The sequence below is a fragment of the Homo sapiens genome, chromosome 10 (assembly GCF_000001405.40).
Source record: "Homo sapiens chromosome 10, GRCh38.p14 Primary Assembly".
In the NCBI taxonomy this organism is placed as follows: Eukaryota; Metazoa; Chordata; class Mammalia; order Primates; family Hominidae; genus Homo; species Homo sapiens.
This window is the reverse complement of record NC_000010.11, coordinates 133,083,166-133,095,341: the sequence shown is the minus strand read 5'-3', so window position 1 is coordinate 133,095,341 and position 12,176 is coordinate 133,083,166. Positions and strand designations below refer to the sequence as shown.

Below are 12,176 nucleotides of genomic sequence, written 5' to 3'. Positions count from 1 at the left end.
AGAGGCCCCTGAGGGTTTTCGGGGGAGTCAGGGCCCAGGAGAGCCCCACCCTCACTCTGCCCCTCTGTAAAGAGGTGAGCTGGGTGGGCCTCTGTCCAGATTCTCCTGAGTGCCCCAGAGCCCGAAGCGTCAGTTGCCTCCTGCAACAGTCGTGGGGTGAGTGTCCGGTCCGAGCTCCAGCTGGGGCTCCTGCTTCCCCCAGAGATCAGCCCAGGGACAGCCCGGCCAACTGTGGACATTCGCACGTCCCTCCTTGGTGTTCTGGCTACTGGAGTGCTTGCCATCAGGAGACGATGCATGGGGGCTCTGGCGTGGCTCGGGCGGTGCCAGGCTGGTTGTCCCACGTTTGCTGGTTTAGTAGGCGCCCACTTCCTGCCACGTGCAAACAGCTCCAAAGTCACAGAAAAGCATGTTTTCCCGGCCAAATCCCGACATCAGGTTATCCAGTGAGTTATCTGCTGCTGGGAGGTGGAGAATGCCCCATGTGGGTAGAAGAACTGAAGTTTTAACAGGGCGTGAGCGACGCCCCAGATTCTTGTCCCCAGGATTCTTCCACGAGAGTCAATGGCTTTTCCTCCAAGACATTGACCCAGGGTCTAAAATAAACCTGAACGCTCTACACAGTTCCGACGAGCCATTGTTGCAAACCCAGATCCGCGAGAGAAGCCAAGAGAGTGGGGTCCACTCTGTGTCCAGCCCTCTCCGAGTCTATCGGAGCATTTCCTCAGTGAGTCGCCTGGAACAAGGACTTCGTTCTCATCTGTTGTGTTGAAGAGCCTGGGGTGGTCTGCCCCGGGCCCTCACGCGTCCTCTCACGGCCTCCCTGGGGCTGCTGTGGCCGCCGCGCCTTCCTGCAGGACTCAGACTCCTGCTCAGCTACGGGGGCGAGGGGCGGTGCCACTGTGGGCGGAGGCGCAGATGGCAGCCAGGAAAGTGTGTGCCCTGATGTCTGGTGCCTGCGAGCCGCGTCCTGTCCCGCTGCCTCCATCCTCAGGGCCAGAAGGAGACTTAGCCTCCCGTTTGTGGCTTTTAGTCACAAACACAAACCCCTTCATGTTAAGCCCAATCAGAGCTGCTTTTCATGCAAGAGGCAAACGTCTCAGGGCGCGAGTGCAAGGTGCAGGCTGCGCTGGGAGGAGGCCGCCCAAGCTCCAGTGACAGCGAGGGCCACGCCGCCTTGTGTGGGGCTTCTCGTCTGAAGGCCAAGCTGTGAGGTTTCACACGGACTGAGGCGGCAAGGGCAGGCGTGGACGCCTGGAGCTGCCGCGTGAGCTGGAGGCCTGGGCCATGGTCCTCACCTGTGCAATGATCCGTGTGTCAACAAGATGTTTTATAAGAAACAGATGTGTGATTTGGTTTGGTTTCTTTTCTTTTTCTTGTCTCCAAATTACAGTTATCAACAGTGCCTGTCTACATTTTCAGAGGTGACATTTAAAACTCAAAGTGGGTCATGTGCAGTGGAGACGTGTGTTGTCTTTTAAAGTTTGCACATGCACCGATTCTTCTTTGCAAGTGTTCCCCAGGCCTGCTGGTCTGATCTGTGGCTGAACAGAGCCTGGCTGACAGGGGTGAGCCAGCAAGTCAGAAGCAGAGTTCCTGGACCCTCGGCTCGCAATGCAGCCAGGCTCCTGGGGGGTGAAGAACACGGTTCCGAGGACCCAAGGGGGCTGGGAAGGGGCGGATGAAGGTGGCCCCGACCTTCTTGGCCCAGATGAAATGGCCGGAATGCCAGCTTGGTTCTGTGCCCGCAGGATGGCCCAGGTTGCTCTAGAAGGCACCCAGAGATGTCTCTGCTTCCCTGGGGAAGGCGGGCATCCATCTCCCATCTGCCGGCCTCGGAGCCAACAGTCCCGCCAGCGTGTGAGCCCGGCGTGCGTGGGACTCGTGCTCTGGCTTATTTGTGTCTCCTCTTTCTTTAGTCATAACTTCCTCCTCTGTTTTCCCTCATTTTAATTGGAGGTCTCCTCTTTGGTGTGTTCTGCAAATCAAGTGGGTCAGGGTGTTAAAGACAAAAACAAAGGAGGAAAGATGAGAAGGAAGCAGTCGGTCAAGTTATGTGTGAATTTTCTGATCAAAACTTAACCTTTCTGCAGCAGTGAGAGGTGGGAAAGTGACCTCTTCAAACCTGGGGAATGCCAGCTGCCTGAAGGAATCTTCCTCCCTGCGGGTGAGGTGTCCGGGGCCAGGTCTGCAGCTCCGACTGGCTGAGGAACCTTCTTTCCTGCACAGTGAGGTGTCCGGGGCTAGGTCTGCAGCTCCAACTGGCTGAGGAACCTTCTTTCCTACACAGTGAGGTGTCCGGGGCCAGGTCTGCAGCTCCGACTGGCTGAGGAACCTTCTTTCCTGCACGGTGAGGTGTCCGGGGCCAGGTCTGCAGCTCCAACTGGCTGAGGAAGGAACACATATCCTCCCAGGTGCTTCCAGTCCTCCTTCTCCTTCTTCCAGGTTCAGGCTCCCTTCATTTCCTTCCTTCCTTCCTTCCTTCCTTCCTTCCTTCCTTCCCTCCCTCCCTCTCTTCCTTCCTTCCCTCCCTTCCCTCCCTCTCTTCCTTCCTTCCTTCCTTCCTTCCTTCCTTCCTTCCTTCCTTCCTCCCTCCCTATTTCTCCTTCTTCATTCAGGTGCTTCTTCCTGGTTCTTCCTGTTTCTCTTTCTTGTTTTTTCTGGTTCTCCCTGTTTTACTTCCTGGTTCTGTGCCAATGAACACTGATTTCCTGAGAGCCTGATGTATTCCCTTGTCTGCCTTTTAAATAATAATTGCATCTACTGATCTGTCAACTTTTCATGGATGTGTTCCAGGGGAAAGGTGGAAGGTAGAGGAGAAGAATTTATTCCTCCAGAACACAGATGACCCATAGTCGGCATTACGTTTGTAAGGTGCGTTATGATTTTCTTCTTGGAGGAGTAGATGGGCTAGTGAAGTTTTGAAGAGATTTGGGAAAAAAGTGTTAAAATATCATAGACGCTTTCTTTCTAGACTGGTAGTTACTTGCTTAAAGTTCTTAATTTTCGGGAAGATGTGAGGTGGGATGACAAACTCTCCATCTGTGAGATGAAGGAAGTAGACTGTAGCCATTTTTAGTAATTTAGATATTAGACTAAAAAACAACTAGCTGAAAAGAACTCAGTATAGCTCTGAAATGTTCGTACGCGCGACCGACCATCCTTACGCCCTGTGAGAGGCCCTGCGTCCCGGGCCCCTCCCACCTCCTGAATGCCCATTCCTGGCAGAGGCCAAGGGGTAAAATTTGAGCAGAGATAAACCCACCTCATGTGGGCTCACGTACTTCCTAACAACTCAGAGCTCCGAGTCTCCCACAACCTGCCTTTGGGCCAGGACCCGATCCTGGTTCTCTTCAGGGCGGACTTCACATGGGTCCGGCCTCGGGGAGCAGCTGCAGGCTCCTCCTCACTCTCGGCCTCCGAGACTCCCCTTCCTGGGGGCACCGCCAGGAGGCTGGCCTTGACCTTGGGCCTGTCACCCTCCGGTTGGAGGTCTTCACCCTTTGGCTACCCGCCTCGTCTCCTTGGAGGTTTCGAAGGCACTCTGTCCTTTCAGAAGCTGGGGAAGGAAGTGTTAGACCCAAGGAGCTCCCTACACACACCAGGTCTCTGGGGTCCCCCAGCCCAAGCTTGTCCTCGCACTCAATCCCGGCATTGAGAACATGCAGGGTGCAGCAAACAGCGCCTCTGATGACCAAGAGTCAGCCCTGAATTGAGAGCTGGAAGGGGCTCGGTTGAGTCCCCTTTGAGAGCCTCCACCCTACTCACAGAAAGCTGGCAGCTCACAGATGACCACATAGAAACACAGATGCTAACCAGGCAATGGTGCCATCGGCACAGGGCCTGAACCCTGAAGGGACGATGAGCTCATGCTCCCAGCTGCACCTAAATATTGCAATTGTGGAATGAAAGTAGCCACAGAGGGCCAGACGACATCTTCACACCACACCATATCCCACAGCAACCACACTGCACCAGCCACACCGCCCATCCCACGGCAACCACACTGCACCAGCCACACCGCCCATCCCACGGCAACCACACTGCACCAGCCACACCATCCAACCCTGCAGGTGTTTCCCCATAGGTGCCACACCCAGCGCAGCCCCAGGCCTCCCAGTTGGCAGGATCTGTGGCTTTTCAGCCTCAAATTCAGGCCCTCGAGAACAACTGTTCTCTGAGTTAAGTGTGAGGACTGCAAGTTACAGGGTGCGAAGTGACACCTATTTCATTTCGGAGCCTGCTGGAACGTAAGTCCTGATAGCACCCCTTGCGGAGACAGGCAAGTTCACATTTGCTTTTGCTCGTTAACAGTGGTGACGGAGACACAGCTTGCAGAAGGAGGTGCCCCAGCTTTAACCACTGGACAGGTGGCCTGCAGGTCCTCCAGAGGGGAGCAAACTGTCCATCCTGTAGAGCACCATGGGCCGACAAACCAGCCTTTTGAGAGGACGGCCTGGCCCAGCCAAGCTGCTGGACAGCAGCTCAGAATCCAGGGCTGACTCATGCCTTTGTGCCTGGCCAGGAGCGATGCCACCAAAGAATCTGACCTGTGACCTGTGCCCTATGCCCTTACACTTGGGAGCTCAGCAGGCAGCTTGCCCCTGGCAGGCGTCAGGAGCCCCCCAGAGCACAGCAGTGGGGCAGGCAGAGTCAGGGCCACCCTGCCCTGGCCACGGCCTCCAGGCTTCCTTCTCAAGACCCCATGGCCATGGGGTGAGCCTGCCCAGGTATCTACGCTGTGAACTTGGAGACACGTGCTGTGAATTACGCTGTCACACTACGCTGTGAACTTGGAGACACATGCAGAAAAATGCTGCACCAGACTGATGCAGCACGGGAGGGCAACTCCTCACACTTTCAGAGATTTTCTCAGGTGCAAATGTTACTTGTTGTGAATAAAAACAGTGAGCTGCTGAAATGCCACACTCTCCAGGCAGATCGAGCTCAGCAGGCTTTCACAGTCTTGGGTGAGCAGGAGCTCTGGGCTGCCAGGCCGGCTGGGACCGGGTGGCCCCGGGCCGAGGAGGTGGTAGCAGGAAGCTCCACCAGGAGCCAGGAGCTGAGAGGAGAGTGCACGAACAGGCTCAGCCTGCGAGGGGTGGTGCCCTTCTTGGATTGGGGAGGCCCCCGCACAGTTGTTCGCAGAAGGGCCAAGGGTTAGAGAGGAGGAGGCGAGGAAGGGGATGAGAGGGACCCCCGGGCTGCGGCAGCACCCCCACCTTCAGAAGCCCTTCTCCGTTCACTGTCCTCTGTCAATGACAGTTTTCCATTTTGCAAATAAGGGTCTCAATTTGAGGCTGAAAAGCCACAGATCCTGCCAACTGGGAGGCCTGGGGCTGCGCTGGGTGTGGTACCTGCGGGGCAACAGCGATGGTTCCTGAGGCTGGTGGGAGCCTGGGGGCAGGCAGGAGCCCTGGGGCTGGCCTGCTGCCCCCTGAGGTGCTGCTGGTGCTGGAGACGCAACCTTGTCAGGTGTCTGAAAGGTAAGTGCGGAGACCTCAGCCAGCCTCAGAGGTGAAGCAGCCACTGGAAGACGATACTGAATGTTGGCAAAGGCATCTCTCTTGCTTGGACATTTCGAACGGAACAAGAAGAAAATGAGCAAGTGACTCAGACCGATGGCTCCTTATGCAGCGAACACTGGGTCTGCTCCGAAGCACGCCAGCCGGCGTCTGTGGCGGCCGCACATTCTAGAGGCCATTGGCATTCTCTGCACGTGCCCTGGGTCCTCACCGCCTGTCAGCTGTCCCTTACCAGCACACACAATGCATTGTTCACTCAGCTGTCAGCCCTTCCGGAACCCAGACATTCAGCAACTGCAGCAAAAGCTTGCTGGTGCCTCAGGGAGGGACCCACGATGGGCTCGGCTAGCCGATCCAGCCAGCTGCCAGCCACGAGCCCCTTCCCGCTGAAACACCCTTCCCGTGCCTGCCGTGTGCGCGGCCGCCTTCTCTCCGCCACAGCCTCCACTGCTGAAGCCCACCTACGTCTGTCCGCACTGCCTTTCATCAACTTTCTAATGGGAAGGGGCCGGCAGGGTGGCGTGGAGGAGGCCGGTGACCAGGGTGGAGGGGCTTGGGGTGGCAGGGACCCCAGCCCAGGCACAGACCAGGTTTTCACAGGGCACGGATGCCAGCTTTGCGGGAGGGACGTCGCCTCCATTGATTAAATGATTCCACATTGCCATATGCCTGCAACTCATTAGTATGATCAGCACCCAGCACGCGGGGAGCAGAGGTGCCCAGACACGCGGCCTGTCCCCGGCCCCCACTCCACAGAGCCTCCCACCCCGGCACTGAGCCCGGAAGCCCGGTCACCAGCTCGCCATTCCACAACTTTTCCAGCCTGGGAGTCCCCATACGGGTGGCCGCCCCCCCGCAGCGGCCTAGCCCCCAGCTGCAGGACCCCCGGGACCCCCGTACTCACCATGAGCGCTGCAAAGTTGCGGAAGCGTGAGCGCCGCTGGAGGAGGCGTCCAGGGGGAGGCGATCAGGTGGCGCCCTGCTCCCCGCCAGCCTCCATGGCCTCTGGAAGGTCAAAGTCCCAGACGGCGGCCAGGAGGTCGCGCTCCCGGGCCCCTGGCCTCAGGGTGACCGCGGCGGGGCGGGCGCAGTCCGGGAGCTGCTCCCATCTGTGAAGACAGCGGCGGTCAGCGGGGCGGGCGGAGGGTCCCCGCGGAGGGCAGCTCGCAGCCCCGACCCCGCCAGGGAGCAGCCGCGGCCCCTGTCGCTCCCTCCCCTCCGCGGGCGGCCTGGGGGCTGCGCCTGGGGCTGGCGGAGGCGGTGCCGGTGGGGACCGGTGGGGGGCTCGGACCGAACGCGCCAGCGGCAGATGCGTCTCCTTCTCCATATTTAAAAATCAATCTGCGCCCCACTCCCGGCTCCGGAGCCAAACTCAACCATCTCGGGCTGCACAAAGCCAGAGGCGCGCCGGGGGGTTTGCACCGGGAACCGGCACCGAGTGACCCGCCCGCCCCAGCCCGGCCGCGGCGCCTGCTCTGCCTGGATGTGGCTCGAGCTCCGGGCCGGGCGCGCGGGGCGGGGGCCCTGGATTATCCGTGGCGCCTCCCGCCCCAGCGGAGCCGAAAGTTACTCGGAGCTGCTTTCCTCGCGGCCAGTGTCACCTCGGGGCGCGAGCTTTTCTGCCGAGCCGCGGCCCCGCGCGTCCCTCCCGCCGCCCAGACCCGCGCGTCCTTCCCACCTGCTGTGGCCGAAGCGGCTGCCGGGGCGGCCGGGCCGCGCTCCCGGAGACAGACGCGCTGCGCTCCCCCCGCCGGGGACCCGCTCTCCATTCGCGAGGGCAGCGGCCGAGCTGGGACCGAGTTATCAACAGATTGCGGGGCTGCGGCGCCGGCCGGTGAGTCACAGCCCCGCGCACGAGCGGCCCAGCCCGGCCAGCAGCGCCGCCGCCTCTGCGCGCACCTCCCGCGGCGACAGCGGGGACCCGGGGCCGGAGGCAGGCGCGTAACCATGGGGACCGGGGCGGGCGATGGCGGCGGGCGGGCTCCTGCCGCAGGGTGGGGATGGCTCTTCCAGCCGGGCGGCCGCCGTCACACTGCAGAGCGTATTTAAAGAGACACCTCGCTCCGCGCTCGCTCCCCAGCACCAGACCCTCGCCCGAAAACGCCGCCGGGCGGACTGCACGACCCTGTGTTATTCCCAAAGACAATCTCCATCCGTGGAGAAGCTGCAGGAACAGAAATATACACAAGAAAATGGATTTGGAAGGAATTTTCCATCCTTTATTTAACATTCTCAAGTCCAGATATGCCAGAACCGAGGTGCACCTGTCGTGAACCCGTCTGAGTGTGAGTCAGCAGGGCAGCCGCAGCCGGTGTAGACAGACAGGGCCTGTGGCTGTGCAGAAAGCGTCCCTGTCCCCCTACCCCAACCCTCCTGCATCCTGGGCCACAGAGCTGGGCATCCAGAGCCAAGGCGAGTGTGGAGGCCAGGGTGCCAGGGGCGGCGCAGCCCAGCCTCCCACCCGCAGCGAGGTTTGGGCTCTGCACACATCCCACAGGTCCCTATCCTGCCCCAAGGGGCCTCCTACCCGACAAGGTGGGTCCAAGTCCACTCCAGTTTTCGTCACAAACTCCGTTTTCTGGGGCACGTGCTGGCCTGGTGGCAGCCTCAGCAAGAGTCTCAGGAACTGCCCTGGGGGACTCCACACCCCTCCACCTGTTCCCCCTTTGGCCCTGGGTGACCCCACACCCCTCCACCTGTTCCCCCTTTGGCCCTGGGTGACCCCACACCCCTCCACCTGTTCCCTCCTTGGCCTCCACCCTTGCATGGCTACTTCTGCCCCAGGTTCTGTGACACTGGCGCCTGTTCAGGGGGTCCCCAGGCCCTGCTGCCATGGATTTTGAGGGGCCTGAAGGATGTACTATTGGGAGGTTGTCATGAAGACTCACAGAGGCAGAATTAGATGCAGGGGTGACAGCGTTCCGCTTCCCCGGCCTCTCATTATGGGGCTTTTGAGCGGGATGTGCTCAGGGCCCCACTGCCCCATCTAGCTGGTGTTCCCAGAGCCCCTCTGTGGGGACACTGTGCTGGTCCCTGAACTCCAGCTGAGGGACACAGGGTCCAGGCAGGCGACGGTCTAGTTCCCAGCTGGAGACGCTCTAGGCACCCCAGGACCTGGCCGCCCTGACTCCCTGGACACCGTTCCCTTGGAGCCTCGGAGCCCCCCCTGGTGTCCCCTGGGTGATGGTCCTGGACAAGAGGGCTGGGAAGAAGCGGGCAGCAAGGGGAGGATTCTGCCCCAGACGTCCCCAGGCCGGGGGTCCCCATGGGCTCTGCCCTGACGTCTTACTCCTGCACCCAGCGGCTCCCACCACAGAGACTGCTCCAGGTGAGGGTACCACACTGAGCACAGGTCAGCCTGTGTCTCCCGGGAGGCTCCTGGCACATCACAGTTGGGGCCCAGAGGAGGCCCCGGCCGGTGGGGGGAGTGGCCCTGGCTTGTCTCTTTCCCTGCACACGGACTGGAGCCCTGCCCTGAGTCCCACGGGGACTTTGCGGGGGAACTTCTCGAAGGTGCTGTGGGGGCAGAGGGAGGTGGTGGAGCCAGCCAGGCTCTGGGAGGCCCCAGAGAAGCTCCCACTGCCCACCTCAGTCCTAGCTGGTTTTGGGCCCTGGGCTGGGCCCCCACAGGCTCCAAAGGGAAAGGTTGTCCAAGGGAAAGCCCTGGAGGCCGCTGGTATCCGGGTAGGACACACAGAAGGCTACCAGGTGCTGTGGGGGCCCTGGGGTCCGGCACTTGAGGCAGACAGGTCCACTGGCTTGCGAATGTCCTGCTGCCCCCGCACGTGGTGGTCAGGACCCGGGAGGGCTGCCCCTCCCCCCCCATTCCACACCTAGTGATAACCTAGGTGAAGGAGAGAGAGCCAGGGGGAGCTGGCACTGCCACGTGTTCCAGAGCTGCCCTTGGGCAGAGTCTGTGGGGCTCGGCCTTGTGAGGGGTGGGGGCACCGGGTGTCTCCTGCTCACTCACAGCTGCCCCCCAGGGCCCCTCCCCCGCTGCTCTGCGAGCCCCTCCCTGGAGCTGCCCTTGGAGGGCACCTGCTTCAGGTCTCATCTCCAGGGTGGTGCTGGGGACCGGGCACTGTCTCCTGAACAGTCCCACATGGTGGCCTGGGCGGCACGCCTGTGGGATGGGGAAACCGAGGCACAGACAGTCACGTGCTCTTCCAGTTGCAGGTTAGACCCCACTTGCGGTTGTGTGTTCCAGAAGTCTCCGGGCGCTGTGTGGCAGGATGAGGAGCTGCCCCCCTGGAGGATCACGCAGGCCTCTGGGTGGCATTCAGCAGGTGAGCCGGCGGCCGTGTGCCCGGCAGCCCGGGGATGTCAGCACTTGCCCTGCCACCAGAGGTCACTGCCCCGGGCCCTGGGCCCCCGGCCCTCTGCTCACTGTTCATCAGCAAAGCGTCTGCTTTCTGGACTGCAGGGTTGGCTGCGGCACCGGCTGACCACAGGGCCCACCTTTCCAGTCCCGGCAGGAGAGAAGCGTCTCAACCATGTTGCAGGCACACGGGTGAGGGTGCTGCCTGCCTCCCTGACTCTTACCTCCCCAAGAGAGGAAAACAAAAGAAAAAAAGATAAGACCAGGAAATGGAAATAAGACAAAGAAGAATGAAATTTTAAAATCCGAACAAACCCAAACATGCTGTTTCAAAACGTAAGTCCATGAAGAGTCTCGTGGTGAGAAAGACAGAATTCCTAGCCAGGAAAATGCCCCGTGCTTGCCCCTTGGAGGCAGGTGCTCACCACGGCAGGGTCTATCTAGGTGTTTATTAAGGTGTCTCACCACGTATCGCCCGGATTCACCAGAGATGCAGAGGCGGAGGATACGTTCCTGTTTACATTGATACATAGTTACATAGGTGAAGAGCTTTACAGTGAGGAAGCGGCTCACGCGGCCATGAGGGACCCAGGCAGGAGCTGCTGTTGCTGCCCCAGGTGCGATTCCTTCCTCCTCAGGGAGGCTCAGCTCCCCGCTGCAGCCAGGTGGGCCCAGGCAGGCCTCCTTGGCCTACAGCGCAGACGGCCAAGTGCTGGTCACGGCCATTGCATCTACACCACCCCTTTCTCAGCAGCAACTCCACGAGTGCTCGATGGGAAACTGCAGACAGCAGCCTTGCCAAGCGGATGCCCAGGGCCGACCACCGCAGCCCCTCCAGCCACGTTCTCCATCAGGGCAGCCTCCTGCTGGCTTCGGCACTGCAGGTAGCACACCAGCGAGGGGTGGGCCTGTGTGCCACGAAGCGTCATCCATGGACGTGCCACGAAGGGTTATTCTTCTTTTGACTTTTTCTGATGGTTTAAAACTGTAAGAACACACAGCTCACAGTCCACACGGAAGCAGGCATGTGGCTCCTGCCTCACTGTGGGAGGAAAGATGTTCTCAAAAGAAATGGCTGGGTTTGCGGAGGGGTTTGTGGAGGGCCGGGCAGTCTGAACACAGCCCAGCTGGCCTTGGTGGAGGTGGGCCTGGCACAGGGGGGTGGGAGCAGTTCTTCCTGACGCAAATCCTAACGCCTTCAACACTGACCTTCCAAAGAAACAGCTGCTGGACGCCGCCCGACAGCAACGAGAGCCCCACTCCTGAGGCGCGCGACTCTCGAGGGCTTTGTTGTTTATTTGGCACCCGAGGCCCAGGCTCACAGGGTCTCGGGTGCATGGGACCCCCCAGCCCTTCCCACTGCTCTGCGATTCTTCCTCCCTTCTGGAAAGGTCAGTTTGGGGTTCTATTCTGGGAGGGGCCAGGCCGCCACCTGGCCTCATTAACTGGGCAGGCCACTGGGACCTCCTCCGAAATGCTGGGGCCATGGCCGAAGACTTGCCTCCCGCCAGGAGCCTTCAGCCCTCTTAGTAGTGGATGTGGGCTTCCTCCCTCTGAGGGGACGTCCTGATGGACACGAGATGTGGGGCGCCCGTGGGTGGCCGCCTGCTCCTGCCACAGTCCCCCTTGGGGCCTGAGCTGCGGCTGCTGCCTCCGTAGGGAAGGAACAATGGGGGATGGGCCCGCCCCTACCCAGAGAGAGTGGGCCGTGTTGCCTGCAAGGCCTCAGCCAGGGGACCACGTTTCTCTGCATCTTGTGGCTTTGGGTTCTGCAGGCTGTTTGTGGGAGAACGGGAAACAGTCCCAGAGATGACGCTGCCTCATGCAGGTTAACAGAGTTGGAGGTCAGGCCGACGCCTGAGGCTCAGGACGCTGATGGGTGCCTTCCCTCGCCAGGGGTGAGCCCCCAGCCCCGTCTTCCCTCGCCAGGGTGAGCCCCTCCCCAGCCCCGAGTTTGGAGGGGCCGTGGCTGCCGGGGACTCGCGTGAGGAGCTTGCTGTAAATACGGAGCTCTGGAGCAACAGTGGCCTCACGCCACTGGCATCTCGGGCAGGACCTGCCTCTTTTTGGAACACTTTCGAGATCTTTGCGTTTGTTCGTTTCCAGCCATTTGGTGGAGACTCTGAGAGCCTGAACTTAGAAGCCCGCCGAGAGGGGAAATGGCGGCCTCCGGGGAGCGGGCAGCCTGGCCGCAGAGCGCGCGGGACCCAGGGCCACCGTCCTCCCGAGACAGCGGCAGCAGCCGCCACTCACCGTGCGGAATTAAAAACGGCTCTCTGGTTGCCACGGCAACCAGCCGTCTCCCCCCAGCGTCAGTTTGAATTTGTGCAGAC

General features: G+C 60.7%; 1 protein-coding gene and 1 long non-coding RNA gene across 3 annotated transcripts in view, besides 1 other annotated feature; one reads left to right on the top strand and one right to left on the bottom strand.

Moving 5' to 3' along the window:
* The window catches only part of ADGRA1 (adhesion G protein-coupled receptor A1), a 43,752-nt gene extending 36,334 nt beyond the window's left edge, over positions 1-7,418 (bottom strand). Inside the window, exons 1-2 of one of the 2 annotated variants that reach the window (NM_001083909.3) lie at positions 7,204-7,418; positions 6,430-6,634 (exon numbers count right to left, since the gene is read on the bottom strand). In NM_001083909.3, the coding sequence (NP_001077378.1) occupies positions 6,430-6,432 (3 nt within the window). In that variant the 5' untranslated portion in view covers positions 6,433-6,634; positions 7,204-7,418. Of the gene's footprint in view, positions 1-6,429; positions 6,635-7,203 lie in introns of those variants that run through there. The other variant, XM_017016779.2, reaches the window with a different exon arrangement.
* Positions 5,502-6,264: an enhancer, noted in NCBI's record as "H3K4me1 hESC enhancer chr10:134902582-134903344 (GRCh37/hg19 assembly coordinates)". NCBI's record gives its function as "activates a minimal SCP1, AML or CMV promoter by ChIP-STARR-seq in naive and primed H9 embryonic stem cells {active_cell/tissue: H9 hESC(naive and primed)}" and the evidence as "EXISTENCE:reporter gene assay evidence [ECO:0000049][PMID:30033119]".
* ADGRA1-AS1 (ADGRA1 antisense RNA 1) lies at positions 8,645-10,098 on the top strand. Its single transcript, NR_111905.1, has 3 exons — positions 8,645-8,853; positions 9,696-9,811; positions 9,949-10,098. It is a non-coding gene; the product is annotated as an ADGRA1 antisense RNA 1 (long non-coding RNA).